The following is an 18,118-nucleotide window of genomic DNA, read 5'->3' on the forward strand; positions in this document are numbered from 1 at the left end:
TACTGTTCTGAATCCTGCAGGCAGTTGTCACACAATGGTAAGTCTGTGTCTGTGTATCCAAACAGAAAAGGTAATGCACTGCACTAGGACTTGAGGACAGCTATGATTACTTCACTAAGCAATGGAAATTTTTAACCTTCATTATAATCTTATGAGACCACCACTGTTATGCAGCACATGACTGTACTTTAAAGCAGTAACTTTTTCATCCTCAGCACCATTCACAAATTCAACACATTCTCAATAACATCCCATGATCTTGACACTATAATATTAACATGAATACAACTAAACTGTTTACCATAGCACTAGCATATGCAAAGTAATCACTTAACACTCAGCCTCTCTGAAACTCCCCGTAACTCCCCAAGCTCCAATCACACAATTACTTTTCATCTTAGTTTTAGCTGTCTTCTGCTCTACAGTATTTTATCAATCCCCATGTACCAGGGGTACAATCTTAATTCAACAAGTTATTTCACCACTTTGTGCTCCAGTTATTACCTGTAAAATGAACAATAATGCTAGTACCTACTTCATAAAAGAAATGAAGACTAAACTGCTTATTAATGGAAAACATTTAGAAAAACTTCCTAATAGAAACAGCTCAGTAACTGTTTTATTTGCTATTACTAACATCTCTTTTTATTAAACAGTCCTACCCTTTTTGTCTACTACTTAAGCTATCAACATCACAGCTTATAAATGTGCCCCTCTCTGCTTTATTCAAGCCCATCTCTAATATAATATATCCCCATCATCAATACAAGAAGTGAAATCTTCAATAGGCATAGTTCTTAAGGCCAAGATTGCCTGTTAGGTGAATAAAATTATACTCAATAAAAAGTTACGCATGCACATAAGAATATAAAGGATGAACAGAGAAGGCTAACACAGAATGCATGGGAGGGAGAGAAACAGCAAAGAGAAAAAAGTTTCAAGGGAAACTTTTTCGGGGGGAAAAAACCAATGTGTGTAAGAGAAAAGGATGGTGAGAGTCAATCAGTGAACAAAGATAAATGTTTTGAATTACCTTTCATAAAATTGTTTGGTTTTTCTATTTTGTCATCATCTGAATCTAAATCAGTTTCACATCCATGATCTGAGGAACACTGGGACATAGCAATAGGGTCACAGTTCAGATTTCCTGAAATTGGGTTCATTTCCATTTTATGACATTTCCCATCTTCTCTATCTTGCTCTTCAGATTCAGAGTCTTCTGAGTCACTCAGAATCTTGGTTTTTTTAAAGAAACTCGCATTCTTGTGAAATGTATTGTATTTCCTACCACCAGATCTTCCTGGTTCAGAATCTGCTTCCTCTGAGATGCTCTCTGCCTTAAGTTTCTGCACAGACGTTGATGGGCCAGCAGTTCTGTTACATGCATGATCTGAATCATGACTTTTAGAGTCTTCCTCAGAAGACTCTATTTTAAGAAATTTTGTCTTTGAAGGTGCTGGAGTATGGGACTTGTAACCATTAGCATGCCAATTTTTCCGGGCTACCCGCAAATCACTTTCTGACTCTGAGTCTCTGTTTTCAGATTCATCAACATTGCTCTGGGCAGTGTGAGAACTGGACACTGGTAATAGTTGATTTTCATCTTTTAGCTCCTCTTCTTCAATTTCTGACTTTAAGCTCTGTTCATCTTCAGAATTATGTAATAACTTTTTTCTAGCTACAGCAGAAGCATTGCGGTGAGGCAGCTTCCGACCAGAACAGACACTTTCAGAGCTAGAATTCTCTTCTACATCACTCATTAGCTTTATTTTATTGGCAGCCACAGCAGCACACTTCCTTAAGACTTTTCGGTTATTTCCAGCTCTGGCTTTTAGAATTTCACCAGTCTCCAATGAATTGTTATCAGAATCACTTAAATAGACTCTCTTTCGAGTGGCTTTTCTGCCACATCCATTTGCTAATGAAACGGGACCTAGAAATAAGGTTAACAATAAGATTAAAAAGATTTTCCTTATTTCAACATTTTTAAATGACTATTATTTTAATGATTTTCTTCACTTTTTTGGGGGGCGGGGAGGAGACGGAGTTTCGCTCTTGTTGCCCAGGCTGGAGTGCAATGGTGCAATTTTGGCTCACTGCAACCTCTGCCTCCTGGGTGCAAGCGATTCTCCTACCTCAGCCTCCTGAGTAGCTGGGATTACAAGCACCAGTCACCATGCCTGGCTAATTTTTTGTATTTTTAGTAGAGACAAGGCTTCGCCATGGTGGCCAGGCTGGTCTCGAAACTCCTGACCTCAGGTGATCCGCCCACCTCAGCCTCCCAAAGTGCTGGGATTATAGGCGTGAGCCACCGCACCCAGCCTTTTCTTCACTTTTTAATGCCAAAATTCATTTCCTTCCTAAATCTAAGGAACCTAAAGGACATTAACTTAATCTTACGTAGATGCATTAAATCGAGAATCTATTCAATTTATAACTTTTGGATTCTTTTGATATACATTCCATAAAAGTACTACTGAGTCTCTTACCAGTTTTTCTTTGAGCAGCTCTAGTTCTGGTTACCCTGAGATTGCTGCTTCTGGATAGCCCACTGCGTGAGGAGGATTCACGAGCTCTGGAACTCTCTTTGCTTTCCTCAGAACTACTGGAAGCTGACGATGACAAAGAGGTAGCTAAAGAATCTTCCACTTCACTTTCTAGGAAAAATAAAGTGTAAATAGTTACATATATTCTCCTGTCTTTACACACATAAGCAAGCAGTTCATAACATTACTCTGAACATTACATAACATTACTACAAAAGCAGATTCCTAAAATGCTTAGAATATATTTTTTAAAAACCATTCCCAAAAAAAGCTGATGAAATTTGGAGTATTAAAAGGTACATAATCAGCATTCCAAATAGTTTTTAATTATATTTCTAAAAATAACAGATTAATCCTAGTGTAGATTTACAAAATATAGTTTATGTATTTTATAAACAGACTTCCAATTAAAAATTTAATTAGCTGCAGGCCGGGCACGGTGACTCACTCCAGTAATCCTAGCATTTTGGGAGGCTGAGGTGGGTGGATCACTTGAGGCCAGGAGTTCAAAACTAGCCTGGCCAAATAGTGAAACCCCATCTCTACTGAAAATACAAAATTAGCCAGGCGTGGTGGCAGGACCCTGAAATCCCAGCTACTGGGGAGGCTGAGGCAGAAGAATCACTTGAACCCAGGAGGGGAAGGTAGCAGTGAGCCAAGATCGTGCCACTGCACTCCAGCCTGGGCGACAGAAAGAGACTCTGTCTCAAAAATAAATTAGTTAAATTAATTGGATCCATGTCTACTCCCTTCTGTGATATCAGATAGGTATTTCATATAAAAAAGACACCATCATTTCAATTCCAGCATTTCAGAAGACATAGTTTGCATGTCTCACCATCCTTTTACCCATTCCTAACAGCACAGTAAGGTCATTTCTTACATAACAGCTACACGAGAGAAAGAGTGTGAGAGGGAAGAAAAGAAAACTGGCTGTGATACCAAAATACTAGACACCAAATTGTGGTTCATCCTTTGAACTTGTTCTACTGTTTGCCCACCTCAGCTACTCCTGTCAACTCTACCATCCATCACCTTGACTCCCTGTTTTTCCAGGCTCTTCCCCTCCCTCTGCACATCACTGCCAAACTTAATCTTCCTGAAACATAATGTGACTCTGTCACTCAATAAGGAACCCAGTTCAGTAATCCAAACTCTTCTGCAAGGCTCGAAAGTTGCTAAACTTTGACTGTACTCTATCTGTTTGATCCCATTGTTTGTAACATTCCCCAAAACGGTCTTTTCATTTGCACAAAATGCATCCTTCTTTCCTTCAGTGCATTTTCTCATAGTTGCTACTAGGCTGTAATGTGTCCACTTATCACTAGTGCCATTTTCAATTACTCCAGCATACTCTGATTGGACATTCCATGCTATGAATGTATCCCTTAAAACACTGTACAGTTCTAATGTGATACACATGAACTTGCTTGTCTTTCTCCACGTTTTATCACAGTCCACTTCCATTCCAAACTTTTATCTGTATGTATATTTTTCAATGCTGTCAATACTATTTATTGAAATACTAGGTAAAAGATATGTATAAATGATTCAATTATAACAGTAAATAGTATGCTATTGTCATAATTCAGCAAAACCACTCAGAGCAGTACAGAAATAGATACACACCACAGCCTCATTTGTACAATGTTAACAAAGTTAGCATCAGCTACAGTTATGCTACCAGATGGCAACAACATGAACAGTTTAGAATTTACTACGTCATCAGCTTTGAACTTCATTGATTCTTAGTACTTCTTAATTTTTAAATTAAAAAGATACAAAAACTTCAAATGCTGCACACCAAGTGTGAAGAATCTATGTATCATGTAATTGACAATTCAATATAAATGTACCATTCACAAAGCATGGCACTTACAGAAGATAACCGAATTGTTCCATGTTTATTATGTTTATCTCTTCCATTAAACTGTAAGTTCTTTCAGTGTCAAGGCCACATCTTTATATTTTCCTCTAAATCTCTAGTAACGGCCAGTGTTACACATTTGGGTGCTCAGCAAAGAAATAACATAGTATTTCACTTCTCACCAGATAATGTAGAACCATTTGTTATAGGTCTATTTCTTTTCCTCCTTTCTGATGATTCTGCTGAATCTGAAGAGTCACCAGAAGTAACACCTGAAGAGATACCAGCACTTGTCTTGTGGGTTCCAAGATAAGCTGTCCTACTTGAGGTAGACTGGGTAGGAGAACCTACCAACTCAGGAATTATTTTTGTCTGAGATTTTAACCTCTTCGGCTTGAGGTTTCTGGCCAAACATATGAACAAAGGAAACAGTATTTAACAAAATACAAAGATAATTGGTTCACAGAGAATGACTAAATAGAAGTATATCATATTTCTTAAACTGAGAGTAATTTTATCATCAAAACATTAAAATATTCACTATTAACATTTTATTCTGGCACTGATTAGTAGTAGTATTTCCTAACTCTAAATTTAACGTACTGTTATTCAAATTTGGAGTAATGAATCAATGTTCCAAGTAAGAGTTACAGAAAATTATTTGAATACCTTACATTCTTTGGATTAAATGCTAAGAGGAACCAACATTTACGTAATATAGGTATTCATTCATACTACCAATGTAAGCCTCAATAGGACCCAACTTTCTCCTCTCTTATTTCTATGTCCCTAAAGACAGAATATGGTTAAGAGGAGAAATCAACAAAACCTAAACAGGAAAAGTTAAAAAAAGGCATCAGAACAAAATGATTTTTGTCCCAAGACCAGACTATTTACATCTAACTGCACCCATTCACCATGGTTGGCCACTAGGCCAGGAATTATGAGAAAGGAGAATGGAAGTTTAAGGCATGTGAGAAATATGGGTGAATGAATATTGAGATAATCCTATTTTCCTTTAAAACAGCTAAGAAATGGCCGAACATGCCTGTAATCCCAGCACTTTAGGAGGCCAAGGCAGGTGGATAAATTGAAGCCAGGAGTTCAAACACTAGCCTGGGCAACATAGCATGACCCCATGCCTACAAAAAATTTAAAAATTAGCTGGGCATAGTTGTGCACATCTATGATCGCAGCTACTCAGGAGACTTGTTTTAGCCCAGGAGCTTGACATTACGATGACATTATGATCACACCATGCACTCCAGCCTGGGCAACAGAGCAAGACCCTGGTTCTTTTTTTTTTTTTTTTTTTTTTTTGAGACAGAGTCTCTGCTCACTGCAAGCTCCGCCTCCCGAGTTCACGCCATTCTCCTGCCTCAGCCTCCTGAGTAGCTGGGACTACAGGCGCCCACCACCACGCCCGGCTAATTTTTTGTAATTTTTAGTAGAGACAAGGTTTCACCATGTTAGCCAGGATGGTCTCGATCTCCTGACCTCGTGATCCACCCACCTCGGCCTCCCAAAGTGCTGGGATTACAAGCGTGAGCCACCGCGCCCAGCCGACCCTGCTTCTTAAAACAAAAGCAAAACAGCCTTTTAAGTGGTATCTAGACATTGAAGCTTAAAGTTAATCACAATTCTTTAAAGCAATAATTGTCAAGGCTGTAATATCAAAAATTTTAAATGCCGTTAATAATCAAGGGAGAGAACAAAAGTAAATATAAGGCTGGGCACAGTGGCTTATGCATGTAATCCCAGCACTTTGGAAGCCCGAGGCAGGTGGGTTATTTGAGGTCAGGAGTTTGAGACAAGCCGCCAAAATGGGGAAAAACCCCGTCTACAAAAAAAACAAAAAAAAACATCGGCGCGGGGGCGCGGGCCCCTAAAACCACAGACACGCGAGACGCAGACACAAAAAAAGCGCGAAAACCGGAGATGGAGAGGGCACAGAAAACAGATAGCACAACAACACACTCCAGCCTGGACAACAAGAGCAAAACTCCATCTCAAAAAAAAAAAAAAAAAAGTGATCTGATACCACCACCACCTAGGAAGGGGATGGAAGGAAGCTATACTAGAGCCAAGTTCCTATATGTACTGTAATAAAAATAGTATTAATATAAAATCGATTGTTTGCAATAGATTGAGATGCATAGTGTAGTCCCCAGAGCAACCACAAGGAAATCCCATCAAGGGATATACTGCACAGTTGAAAATATAAATGGAAACAAACTAAACATTGCACAACTCAATTTTTATACTGTAACAACATAAAGTACCTATAAATGTGATATTAATCTAAACTACATAGTCAAAGAATATAGAATGTAAATTAATATACAATTACTGAGAAAGTTAATAAATCCTTCATTTTACATTTCTTTACAAATAATCCTCAGTAATACTGAGGTACATTGTATCAAGGGTACATTTTCCCTTACACAATCAAATGCTCAAAAGACCATACATAAAAATCACATTATTCTCTACATAGCAGTCCCCAAGCTTTCTGGCACCAGGGACCGGTTTTGTGGAAGACAGTTTTTCCATGGACTGGGACTGGGGCCAGTGAGTGGGCAGAGTTCAAGACAAAACTGTTCCACCTCAGATCATCAGGCATTAGATCCTCATAAGGAGCACACAACCTGGATCCCTCGCATGCAGTTACAAAAAGGTTCCTGCTCCTATGAAAATCGAATGCCCCCACGGATCTGACAGCAGACAGAACTCAGGTGGTAATGCTTGTTTGCCAGCCAATCACATCCTACTGTGTGGCCCAGTCTACACAGGGAGCAGGTGCTGGGGACTCCGACTCTATATTAAAGAGCCAATTCTTATGCAAAATACAAATGACACTTTAAATAATCCTTAATAAGATTTGAAAAAATCTATAATTTTACATATTTATAGAATTACAAACCAATACAACAGCTCTATATTCACAGAAATGCTTTCAAGCTATAAAACCCATGACTAGTCTTTTCAGAATGTACAGTACTCTAAAGATTAAATAACACAGTCTTAAATTTTTAAAAAAATGCATACAGGCTGGGCGCAGTGGCTCACGCCTGTAATCCCAACATATTGGGAGGCCAAGGTGGAAGGATCTTGATCCCAGGAGTTCAAGACCAGCGTGGGCACCATAGCAAGACCCCATCTATACAAAAAATAATTTTTAAAAATTAGCCAGGCTTGGTGACACACCCCTGTTATCCCAACTACTCGGGAAGCTGAGGTGAGAGGGACTGCTTGAGACCAGAAAGTTGCAGCTGCAGTGGTCATGATCATATCACTAGACCCCAGCCTGGGCAACATAGTGAAACCCTGTCTTAAAAAATAAATAGGGCTGAGCGCGGTGGCTCACACCTGCAATCCTAGCACTTTAGGAGGCTGAGGCAGGCGGATTGCCTGAGCTCAGGAGTTCGAGACCAGCCTGGGCAACACGGTGAAACCCTGTCTCTACTAAAATACAAAAAATTAGCCAGGCATGGCAGCATGTACCTGTAGTCCCAACTACTCAGGAGGCTGAGGCAGGAGAACTGCTTGACCCGGGAGGCAGAGGTTGCAGTCAGCCAAGATCATGCCACTGCACTCCAACCTAGGTAACAGAGAGAGACTCCGTCTCCAAAAATAAATAAAAAATAAATAAATAGGCTGGGCGTGGTGGCTCACACCTGTAATCCCAACATTGTGGGAGGCCAAGGTGGGTGGATCACCTGCGGTCAGGAGTTCGAGACCAGCGTGGCCAACATGGTGAAACCCTGTCTCTTCTAAACATACAAAAATTAGCCAGATGTGATGGTGTGCGCCTGTAGTCCCAGCTACTTGGGAGGCTGAGGCAGGAAAATCACTTGAACCCGGGAGGCAGAGATCATGCCACTGCACTCCAGCCTGGGTGACACAGTGAGACTCTCTCCAAAATTAAATAAATAAATAAAGCAAGCTTGCCATAACCAGTTTACCTGATACTTTTGTTAGGCTGACTGTCACCTTTACAATTTTGCCGTTGCTTGAACCTCTGGCTTCTTCGAAGTTTTTCATTGAATTTTTGACCAATTTTAAAATCAGAAGAGATTTTCTTCATTTTTTCTTCAAATAAGGCAGATAATCTCAAGGTCATACTATAAATCTGCAAGGATATAAAAACAAAGTAGAATTACAAAATAGCCTTAAAAGTACTTAAGAAATAATTGTAATCATTGAGATCCCTTGCAATGTATTATATCACTGCTTATAGGTAATGGCTGTCACCCACTTCTTCTGTTTCCAACCCCCTTCCCTTAATGACATCTGGAAGTAAGAAGTATCAAATACATACCTCTCAGATGATAAGAAAGTAGTTTGAAGTCAAGCATCTATATTCAGGACTTGTGTCTATATGTCAGTGAATCTCAACTGTTTTTGCCTATTCTAACATCTGTATGTACAAACCCCAAAATATACCCTTCTCCCAAAGTTAGATGGGAAGTTGAATGGTTTTAAGGCTGCTATTTAGGCTACAAAAGCGCTGTCTTTCTTTGGGGCAAGGGAACAAAAGCACTTTTATATACCCATCTCTGTCTGCAATCTGTTTTCAATGCCACCTAATTCTAAAAATGAAACAAAAATACCTTGCATCCAGTAGCAGAAAGTATAACCTAGAACGTTAATGCATATGAAAGATTTGTTTTAACAATGTTTACAATTAAATAACATCAAATCTTAAATACTTTTGGATACAGCTATGTATGTACAGAACTACTCTATCCTCCTCCACGACTTTTCCTGAAAATAAGTGCAAAAGTCTAATGCTCAAAACTTAAATATAATTCTTGTGCATGGCAGTGGATGGCGAAGACACTCCAATACCAGAAAACTTTTTTAAAAAGTATGTGAGATATACGAATTTCTTACATGCTTCTCATATACATATATATATGCTCACAAATGAATGTGAAATTTGTTATACTTAATCTGAAATGATCTTTGACAGTTATTTTCAGTATTTCATATATATAAATTTTATTCTGCCAGGCACAGTGGCTCATGCCTATAATCCCAGTACTTTGGGAGGCCGAGGCAGGCAGATCACTTGAGGTCAAGGGTTCAAGACTAGCTTGGCCAATATGGTGAAACCCCATCTCTACTAAAAATACAATAATTAGCCGGGCATGGTGGCGCAAGCCTGTAGTCCCAGCTACCCGGGAGGCTGAAGCAGGCAAATTGCTCAGGAGTTGGAGGTTGCAGTGAGCCAAGATCTCACCACTGCTCTCCAGCCTGGGCAACAGAGTGAGACAGGCTCAAAAAAAAAAAAGAAAAAAAAGAAAACACACACACACACACACACACACACACACACAAACAAAACTCCAAAAACAACAAGTGTTGGCAAGGATGTGAACAAACTGTGGCTTTTATACACTGCCAGCGGGAATGTAAAAAGGTGCAGCCAATATGGAAAACAGTGTAGTGGTTCCTGGAAAAGGTAAACATGAATTATCCCATGACCCAGCAATTCTACTCTTAGGTCTATACCCAAGGGAATTGAGCAGGGTTTCTGAGAGATACGTGTATTCCAAAATTTGCTGCAGCATTACTCGTAATGGTCAAGAAATAGAAACAGCCGAGCTGGCCATCGATAGATGAATGAATAAGATATGGTATAACCACACACTTTAATATTATTCAGCCATAAAATGGAATAAAGTTCTGATACATGCTACAACATGCATAAGCCTTTAAGGCATTACACTAAGTGAAATAAATAAGCTGGACACAAAGGACAAATATGGTAAGATCTCAATTTTTATATGAAATTATCTAGGACAGGCAAATTCAGACACCGAAAGTTAGAGGTTTCCAAGGACTGGGGGTGAGGGGAAATTACTGCTTGATGGTTACAGAGCTTCTGTGTGGAATGATGAAAAGGTTTTAGAAAGATTATAAACGATGCCACTGAATTGTACTCATAAAAATGGCTAAAATGGCAAATGTTATGTTATATATAGTTAACCATAGTTTTGAACAACTGACAATGTACTATACCAAAAACCACTGAACTATAAGCTTTCAATGGTGAACTGTATGGTATGTGTCCTCAAACATGTATTTGAGGGGCGCAGGGAAGACTTGAATGAAATTTATTTTGTCGCTGAAAAAAAACAGTCTTACAAATGGTGACTTTGACAAAAATCCAAGCTTGGAAACGTTAGCCTTGAACGTTAAACTGATCCAGCAAGCAGTGTGGATCCTGAATCCAAGAAAGAGTTCTCAAATTGAGACCAGAGGCAGTAATGCAGGAGGAGTCTAATATTAAGTAATGACAGGGAAATGCAGTTAAAGCAAAACAGTTAAATGTCACTGATTGTAGACACCAAAAAATGTTGTAAGATCAAACAAGTATTTTACTTTAAATATGACTTTTTACAATTATTCAACACATGAGCTACCTGGAGTCTTGCTCTGTTGCCCAGGCTAGAGTGCAGTGGCATGATCTCAGCTCACTGCAACCTCTGCCTCCCAGGTTCAAGTGGCTCTCATGCCTCATTTCAAGCGGTTCTCATGCCTCGTGCCTATAGGTGGGATTACAGGCAAGCGCCAACACGGGCTAATTTTTTTATCTCTAGTAGAGAAGGGGGCTCACCATGTTGACCAGGCTGGTCTCGAACTCCTGACCTCAAGTGATCTGCCTACCTTGGCCTCCCAAATTCCAGGGATTACAGGCCTCATCAAGTTTTGAAAAGTTACCCAATGTGTAACATGTTAACAAAACTTTAGTAACCTTCTACTGAAACTGCATGCCCCAAAGAGTTAAAGAAGTCAATTAACAAAAATTCTTAAGTTTACAAAATGACAAAAAAAAAAAAAGAAAGAAAGAAACCCAACCTACTATAAAACACTAAAACTCCCTCTGCTTATGAGATAAGAAGAACTGGCTGAAACTGGTTAAAACCAGTATGGCCAAGTGGAGTCTGCAAAGAATGAGCCTGCTGACATCAGAGCCTGAATTTCCAGCATGCTTCACACTAACTTCCCCCAAATTTGCACACGCAACCCATCAGATAACATAAAGAAATAACTATACATGCCCAAAGACTTTCCAGACCTCTCCTTTCCTTCCATTAATCACCTGCTAATCTCAGAATCCATGCCCTGAACCTTTTCTTTAAAAAAAAATAAAAAATAAAAATACTGCTTTAAAGCCAGCACCGGAGTCAGATTTGAAATTCACTCCTGTCTCCTTAGGAGTCAACTTTCAATATAAAGCTTATTCTCAAAAACCCAGTGTCACCACTTCACTTGAGTAGGCTAGAAAAAAAAAAAAAAGAAAAAGAAAAACCCTGTGTCATAATATTAGCTTCTAACACATCAAGCAAAGAGCCTCCACTGGCTCTGTAACATTATTTGTGGTCTTAATCTGATAGCTCATGTGTTCCTTCTTCAAATCCAAATGTTCTTATGCTGTCAGCAGTCTCACAATCAGATTTTCCTTTTTACTTTTAATATTCTTACAGTCTCGATCTATGTTTCCAATCCACTTAAGATCCTTATACATACAAAACACAGAGACTCTTACTCTGTGTATCAAATTTGTTCACTTTCTATTGATGCCTACTCCCATTAATCCCCACTTGCTTATAAAATTTGAGGAGATTATGATAAACATCAACTGATGAAAGGCAAAAACTGAAGCTATATGAGCAGTAGCAGAAGCTCTTTTCTTTATAATAGTCTTAATTTATTCACTTATCTTTAATGTTCTAACCTCTATTACACAGTGGAAAATTACACTGGAAAAAATTACTATTACATTGGAAAATTATCTACACAGATCAGGCAGTTTTTTTCAATAAACCACATAAAAAATTACCTTTGATCTTTTGTTTGGTGTATACGCTTTTGCATTGCTAAATATCAGCCGGATGTCTTTGCAAAACTCCAAAGGGCTGTCATAATTTCCCGCATCTAGAGTTTCCCTTACTGTTCCAAAATCCATTGGGGTATCTATAATATCTCTGTAGTCCTAGGTTTTAAACACAATATTTAATTCATAGATTCATTTCTTGCTTTTAGAAATGTAAATGCATCAGATCTCTAAAAAATGTGAAATGATGGAAGAGAGGAAAAGGTTAGAGGACTCTTAAAATTCATTAGTAATGTTTAAAAAGAGGTATAAAAACAAAGAAAAGATAGAAATATACCAAAATGTTAATGTCTATTTATTGTTAGTGACACATGGGATGGTTTTATTTCCTGCTGTATGTACTCCAAGCATCCTACAGTCACTCTGTGCTGTTATAATCCAACTTTTTTTATAAAGTCATCTTTCAATTTCCCTTTTTAAAGAGTGCAAACAGACACGTTTATCCAATTCACAGTTCTCCTAGTGCTGGGCCTACTTAGATAGAAATCTAAGTAGATCCATCCCACTGTTATGTAATACTGATTATCTAAGTCTAAATTCTTAAATGAGCTCACAAGGGTGTCTATAAATTGAAGAAAACTATGTAAAAACAATACTTCTACCACTAACTTAGTGATAGGAGCAAAAAAGTTAACATAAAGCCTGGGTATCTTTCTCTTTAAAGTTTAATAACTCTACCCCAGTTTCCTCACTGCAAAACAAGAAAAGCCCCAAACATTTAAACAATGGAAACTTACTGGATATTCAACCAAATCAACAGGTTGTCTAAATGGTTCAGAATCTTCACACTGAAAAATTAAGTTCACTAGTTCCTTACACTGTTTCTTCCAGTTGCTTTCAACATAGTTCGTAGCTCTGATGCTTTTTTTCCCATCATGGACCTAAAAATACATTCACAGTCTTAAGAAAAATCACACTATTGGTGTAAGACTGTGGTAAAAATGTAACTGATCTACTGTCTTCTATAAAAATACAATAATGTCATATATGTTGCTCTCAACACATTTTTCCAGAAATGAAATTTTTAAACTATGCATGAAACGTAAGTTATTTTCATATAACTTAACCAATTTCAGAAATATTACAAAGTTAGCTATGAAAAGCATACTCTAACAAGAGCACATTATCTAGTGAAAGGCTATTCCATGACCTCTCACCTCCCAGGTTTATAATATTTGTTTTCGCAGAATATGAAGCACATCTGATAATATGATAGGCAGAATAATGGCCCCACCAAAGATGTCCACATCATAATCCTCATAACCTATGACTATGTTGCCTTACATGAGAAAAGGTATTTTGCATTAAGGGTATAGACCTTGAGATGAAAGATTATCTTGAATTGATTGCTTGGACCCAGTATAGCCACAAAAGTTATTATAAGAGGGAGGCAGAAAGGTCAGAGTCAGAGAGAGACTGAAAAATGCTACATTGTTGGCTTGAAAGATGGAACAAGGTGACCTGGAGCCAAGGTGAGGACACCCACTAGAAGCTGGAAAATGCACATAACTCTCCCTGGAGCTTCTGGCCACACCAAGACCATGATTCTGACCTAGAGACCCATGAAAACTTCTAATCTACAGAACTATCAGGTAATACATTTTTATTATTTAAGCAACTAAATTTGTCATTTGCTGCAGCAGACATAGCAAATAAATACAAATACTAAACACTTGGGAGTCTAGAAATAAAATTAAACGAAAATGACTAATCAAATTAGAGTATTTTAGGTATAACTTTTCAGTGTTCTGGAAGGCAAGCACATGGTATAAATTAATATTTCATAAAAAGCTTAAATTTAAGGAGCATTTGGAGGAAATTTAAAATGATCTGGGCTAAAATGTCTTAAGCATTTTCATATTAATAACCTTTAATTTTAATTACTCTATATTTGAACTTCAAAGCCTGCCGATACTCCATTATGATTACCCACTTTCATAAACTTAGTTCCATAGACCCTTCTCCTTACCCCTCAACCTCATCATCCCAACATATCTCCATTGTTAAAAAAAGTTCAGTCACCAAATCCTAGTTAGTTTTCCCTAAAAAGGTGTCATAATTTTCCTTTCCTCTCCATTCCAAGCAAATATCCTTGACTAGGTACCCGTCCTTCACCCTATATTCTTGGAATAAACTCCTAATTCATCTCCTTTAATACACATCTTCTTATCCTTCAAATTGTATTATCTATTTTGGCTGTTCAATTGATTCTCTACTTTAAATGAAATCCTTGGATTTCAATATCACCATAATCTACCCCAATCATAACAGCCAGACACAGCCACTTTGATCACTTCAACATCCAACCTCTACACCAGTCAGGTGTAGTTCCCTTAACAGTCTATGGACATGCCATGCCATATTTCTCTACTTTTTTTGTCTTTCCTGTGGTAGCCTCTATTTTTTGAATGGCCTCTTCTTACTCCATCTCACTCTGATAATACAGTACAAATTCCAACTCTCCCACTAAATCTTTCCAGTAATTTCTCCCATTTTGCTAATAAAATATTCAGTATCTACACTGATATAACTTTTCAAAGACAAAAACTAAAATCCTGAATTGATTTTAAAACAAAGAAAAAGAAACTACAAAAGTCAACCATGCAGAGTAACTTACTCTCCTCCTTCCAGAAGATGTTTTAGGAAGATCACTATCATCCTAGGAATAAAATCAGAGCACCTTAAGTATTTAGAGTCTCATTAGAAAATAATAACATAATCTTAATAAATAACATATCAAAGACATTTGGTATTACCAGAGTTATAACATGTTATTATCAAAATCTCCAAAGAAAGACTACCAGATGATCTTTGTGGCACCCAGGCTTGAAAAAAAAAAATCATTCTTAATAATCCTTTTTCATTCCCTAAGAACATGAACTAATTCTAAAATTTGAAATTACAGCTATAAAAAGACGCTTCATGCATTTCCTAAATAGAAAACTTGTGTTTTACCTCTATCCACAAATCCCCAGAAACATACAGATTCCTATAGTTTCTGCATTTTGTGTTCTATAGTACAGGCATGCACTACCACCCCCATCTAACTTTTTTATTTATTGTAGAGACAGGGTCTCAAACTCCTGGCTCAAGCAATCTTCCCATCTCAGCCTGCTAAAGCACTGGAATTACAGGTGTGAGCCACTGTGCCCAGCCTCCAAGGTACTTTATATAATACACCTTTCACTAGCTAAAATATAGAAAGAGAATATATTCCACACCTAAAGTTATTCACTTAGATATATTTTGATATTAGCTAAAACAAATTACCTCATAAATCATCTAGAAAATTCAAAAATATAATTTTATCAAATGCCCTATTTGTTCATTGGACTACTACAAGAGTTGGTACTACAAAGCCAACATTTTCTTCACTTTAAAAATACCATTTGAAATTAACAAAAACCATTATAAAATCAACAAACTTCATACCAAATCCTCAGCATTTTGCTCATCATTTTCAGATGTGTTAGAAAGTTCTGAGATATTTGTACAGTGTTGATTCCTAAAAAACAAATTTTCACTTTAATAGTATGCAGATGTAGTGACTTGTTGGCAAGGATTCAAATTATACATTAAAATATAAACAGTTCACCAACCTATACGTGCCTAATTTCAAACAGAGGAATATCAGGTTTTCCCCCAACCCTTTGTAAACGTAACTAGCCATCTTAAATCCTAATTTAGAATCTTGAAGGTTTTTCTTGTTTTCCGTTAAGTATGTATCCAAATTAAGCAGGTAATCCAAAAATAATATATGTATGGCCTCAATTGGATGAATACATGGATGAGTTTTTCTAAGTATCATCAATAGCAGTATTCACACAATAAGTACCAGGAAAACAGTTGATTTAAGGTAAAAAAAATATATATATATACATATATATATAAGGGAAAAAGGAATTGAAATTAAAGCAAATAGTATCTTACTGTACACACAGGAGAAAAAAAGAATGCTGAAATATGGATATCTAAGCATAAAGGAGACAAAAATGGGTAGATAATTTTCCTGAAGTAAGAACAAGAAGGTGATTCTGGGGAGGAGGTAACTTACGTATGAGTCTCCAAGACTTAGGACAGAATCAAACCAAGAAAGCTGACAAGAATCAGTTACTCCCCAGTTTTCAGCTAGATGCTGAAAACGATGGCACTGTTTCTAAATTAAGAATGCTCACTAGAATAGAGCAGACTAGAACCTGGGTCTGAATTTCCAAGTCAGTTTACATTCTTTGATTCTGAATACTTCTGAATTTAAGAAAATCTACAGAATATTCACACGTATACAAACATTTTCACAGGACATAATCTGAAACATTAAAACAACATAATCATGGGAAAATACCAAACAAAATCCAATTAAATATACTCTATAAAATAAGTAACATAACTATACTCTATAAAATAAGTAACATTCATAAAAATGATGAGGTGATAAAGACAAGAAAAAACTGAAGGAGACTAAGAAAACAAAACGCTAAATTTGATGGGGATTCTGGATTAGATTCTGAAACATAAAAGGGTGTAAAAACTAGTGAAATCCAAATAAATTCTACACTTTCTGTCAATAGCATGGTACCAAGATTTTTTTTTTAACATTTCATAAGTATACCGTAGTTATATAAAATGTTAACCTAAGGGGAGACTAGATGAAAGGCAAATGGCAACTTTCTGGAGTATAAAATTATTTCAAAATTTTAAAAAGTTGAAAAACTGAATTATTCAGTTTCTCAGACTTTTACTTAAATTATGTATGTAAAGAAATGTCATCTAAAGTAAAGCATTAAAAAAGTATAGTTCTGAGTAAAAAACAAAACTAGATGATTTTTTTTTCCTTTTTTTTTTTTTTTCTGGAGACAGAGTTTTGCTCTTGTTACTCAGGCTGGAGTGCAATGGCACGATCCACACACGATTGGGCTCACTGTAACCACCACCTCCTGGGTTCAAGCAATTCTCCCACCTCAGCCACCCGCCACCACGCCCGGCTAATTTTTGTATTTTTTTTAGTAGAGCCGGGGTTTCACCATGTTGGTACGCTGGTCTCAAATGCCTGACCGCAAGTGATCTGACGGCCTTCACTTCCCAAAGTGCTGGGATTAACAGGCATGAGCCACCACGCCCGGCAAAACTAGATGATTGTTAATAGCACAATATGCAGTCACTTTTACACAACATCTATGAAATTACTTACTTGATAAATTTTAAAAGTTGGTCAGTTATCTTTTTAGCTGATCTTGCAATTACACTCTCAGGTTCGTTAAATGTTCTGGCATTATGTTCTATATATCTGACTTCCCAAACTAACGCAGACAGCCTCCTTCAAAATAAAGTAGACAATTTAGGGCTTAGAAAATGAGAAGATAGAAACCAAGTGAAAAAATGCAGCATGTGAATTAAACAACTGTGAAATAATAATTAAACCATAAGTGCAAAGTTATAATGAATAACCTTCTAATGCTCTCAACTTGATCATAGTCATAGGCAATACATTGGACACCGAAGCAATTATATTGAACTGAAGAGGACAAAAATCTTAACAAATTACTTAATCACATACAGAAAACCAACAAAACTACCCTCCCTTTTCATACTGCATATAGGTACCTTTTAAAATTGTTGAATCTCAATAAAGAAAATATGTTAAATATCATCAACCCTAAAAGCTGGCCCAGCAAGCTGGGATTACACCTGTAATCCCAGCACTTTGGGAGGACAGGGCAGGAGGACAGCATGAGCCCAGGGGTTCAAGATCAGCCTGGACAACATGGCAAAACCCCAAATTTACCAAAAATTAAAATTAAA

At 37.3% G+C, this 18,118-nt stretch overlaps 1 protein-coding gene across 6 annotated transcripts in view; it reads right to left on the reverse strand.

Annotated features, from left to right (window-relative positions):
- Positions 1-18,118, reverse strand: part of BRWD1 (bromodomain and WD repeat domain containing 1) — a 137,037-nt gene that overhangs the window by 13,554 nt on the left and 105,365 nt on the right. For 5 of the 6 annotated variants that reach the window (XM_017028373.2, NM_018963.5, XM_011529612.2 and 2 more), the window contains 9 exons: positions 17,508-17,633; positions 15,752-15,824; positions 14,937-14,978; positions 13,057-13,200; positions 12,266-12,418; positions 8,379-8,545; positions 4,596-4,816; positions 2,490-2,657; positions 1,034-1,933 (listed from right to left, as the gene is read on the reverse strand). In XM_017028373.2, the coding sequence (XP_016883862.1) occupies positions 1,034-1,933; positions 2,490-2,657; positions 4,596-4,816; positions 8,379-8,545; positions 12,266-12,418; positions 13,057-13,200; positions 14,937-14,978; positions 15,752-15,824; positions 17,508-17,633 (1,994 nt within the window). The remainder of the gene's footprint in view (positions 1-1,033; positions 1,934-2,489; positions 2,658-4,595; positions 4,817-8,378; positions 8,546-12,265; positions 12,419-13,056; positions 13,201-14,936; positions 14,979-15,751; positions 15,825-17,507; positions 17,634-18,118) is intronic. The other variant, XM_011529611.2, reaches the window with a different exon arrangement.

This window comes from Homo sapiens, chromosome 21 (genome assembly GCF_000001405.40).
Source record: "Homo sapiens chromosome 21, GRCh38.p14 Primary Assembly".
Taxonomy (NCBI): domain Eukaryota; kingdom Metazoa; phylum Chordata; class Mammalia; order Primates; family Hominidae; genus Homo; species Homo sapiens.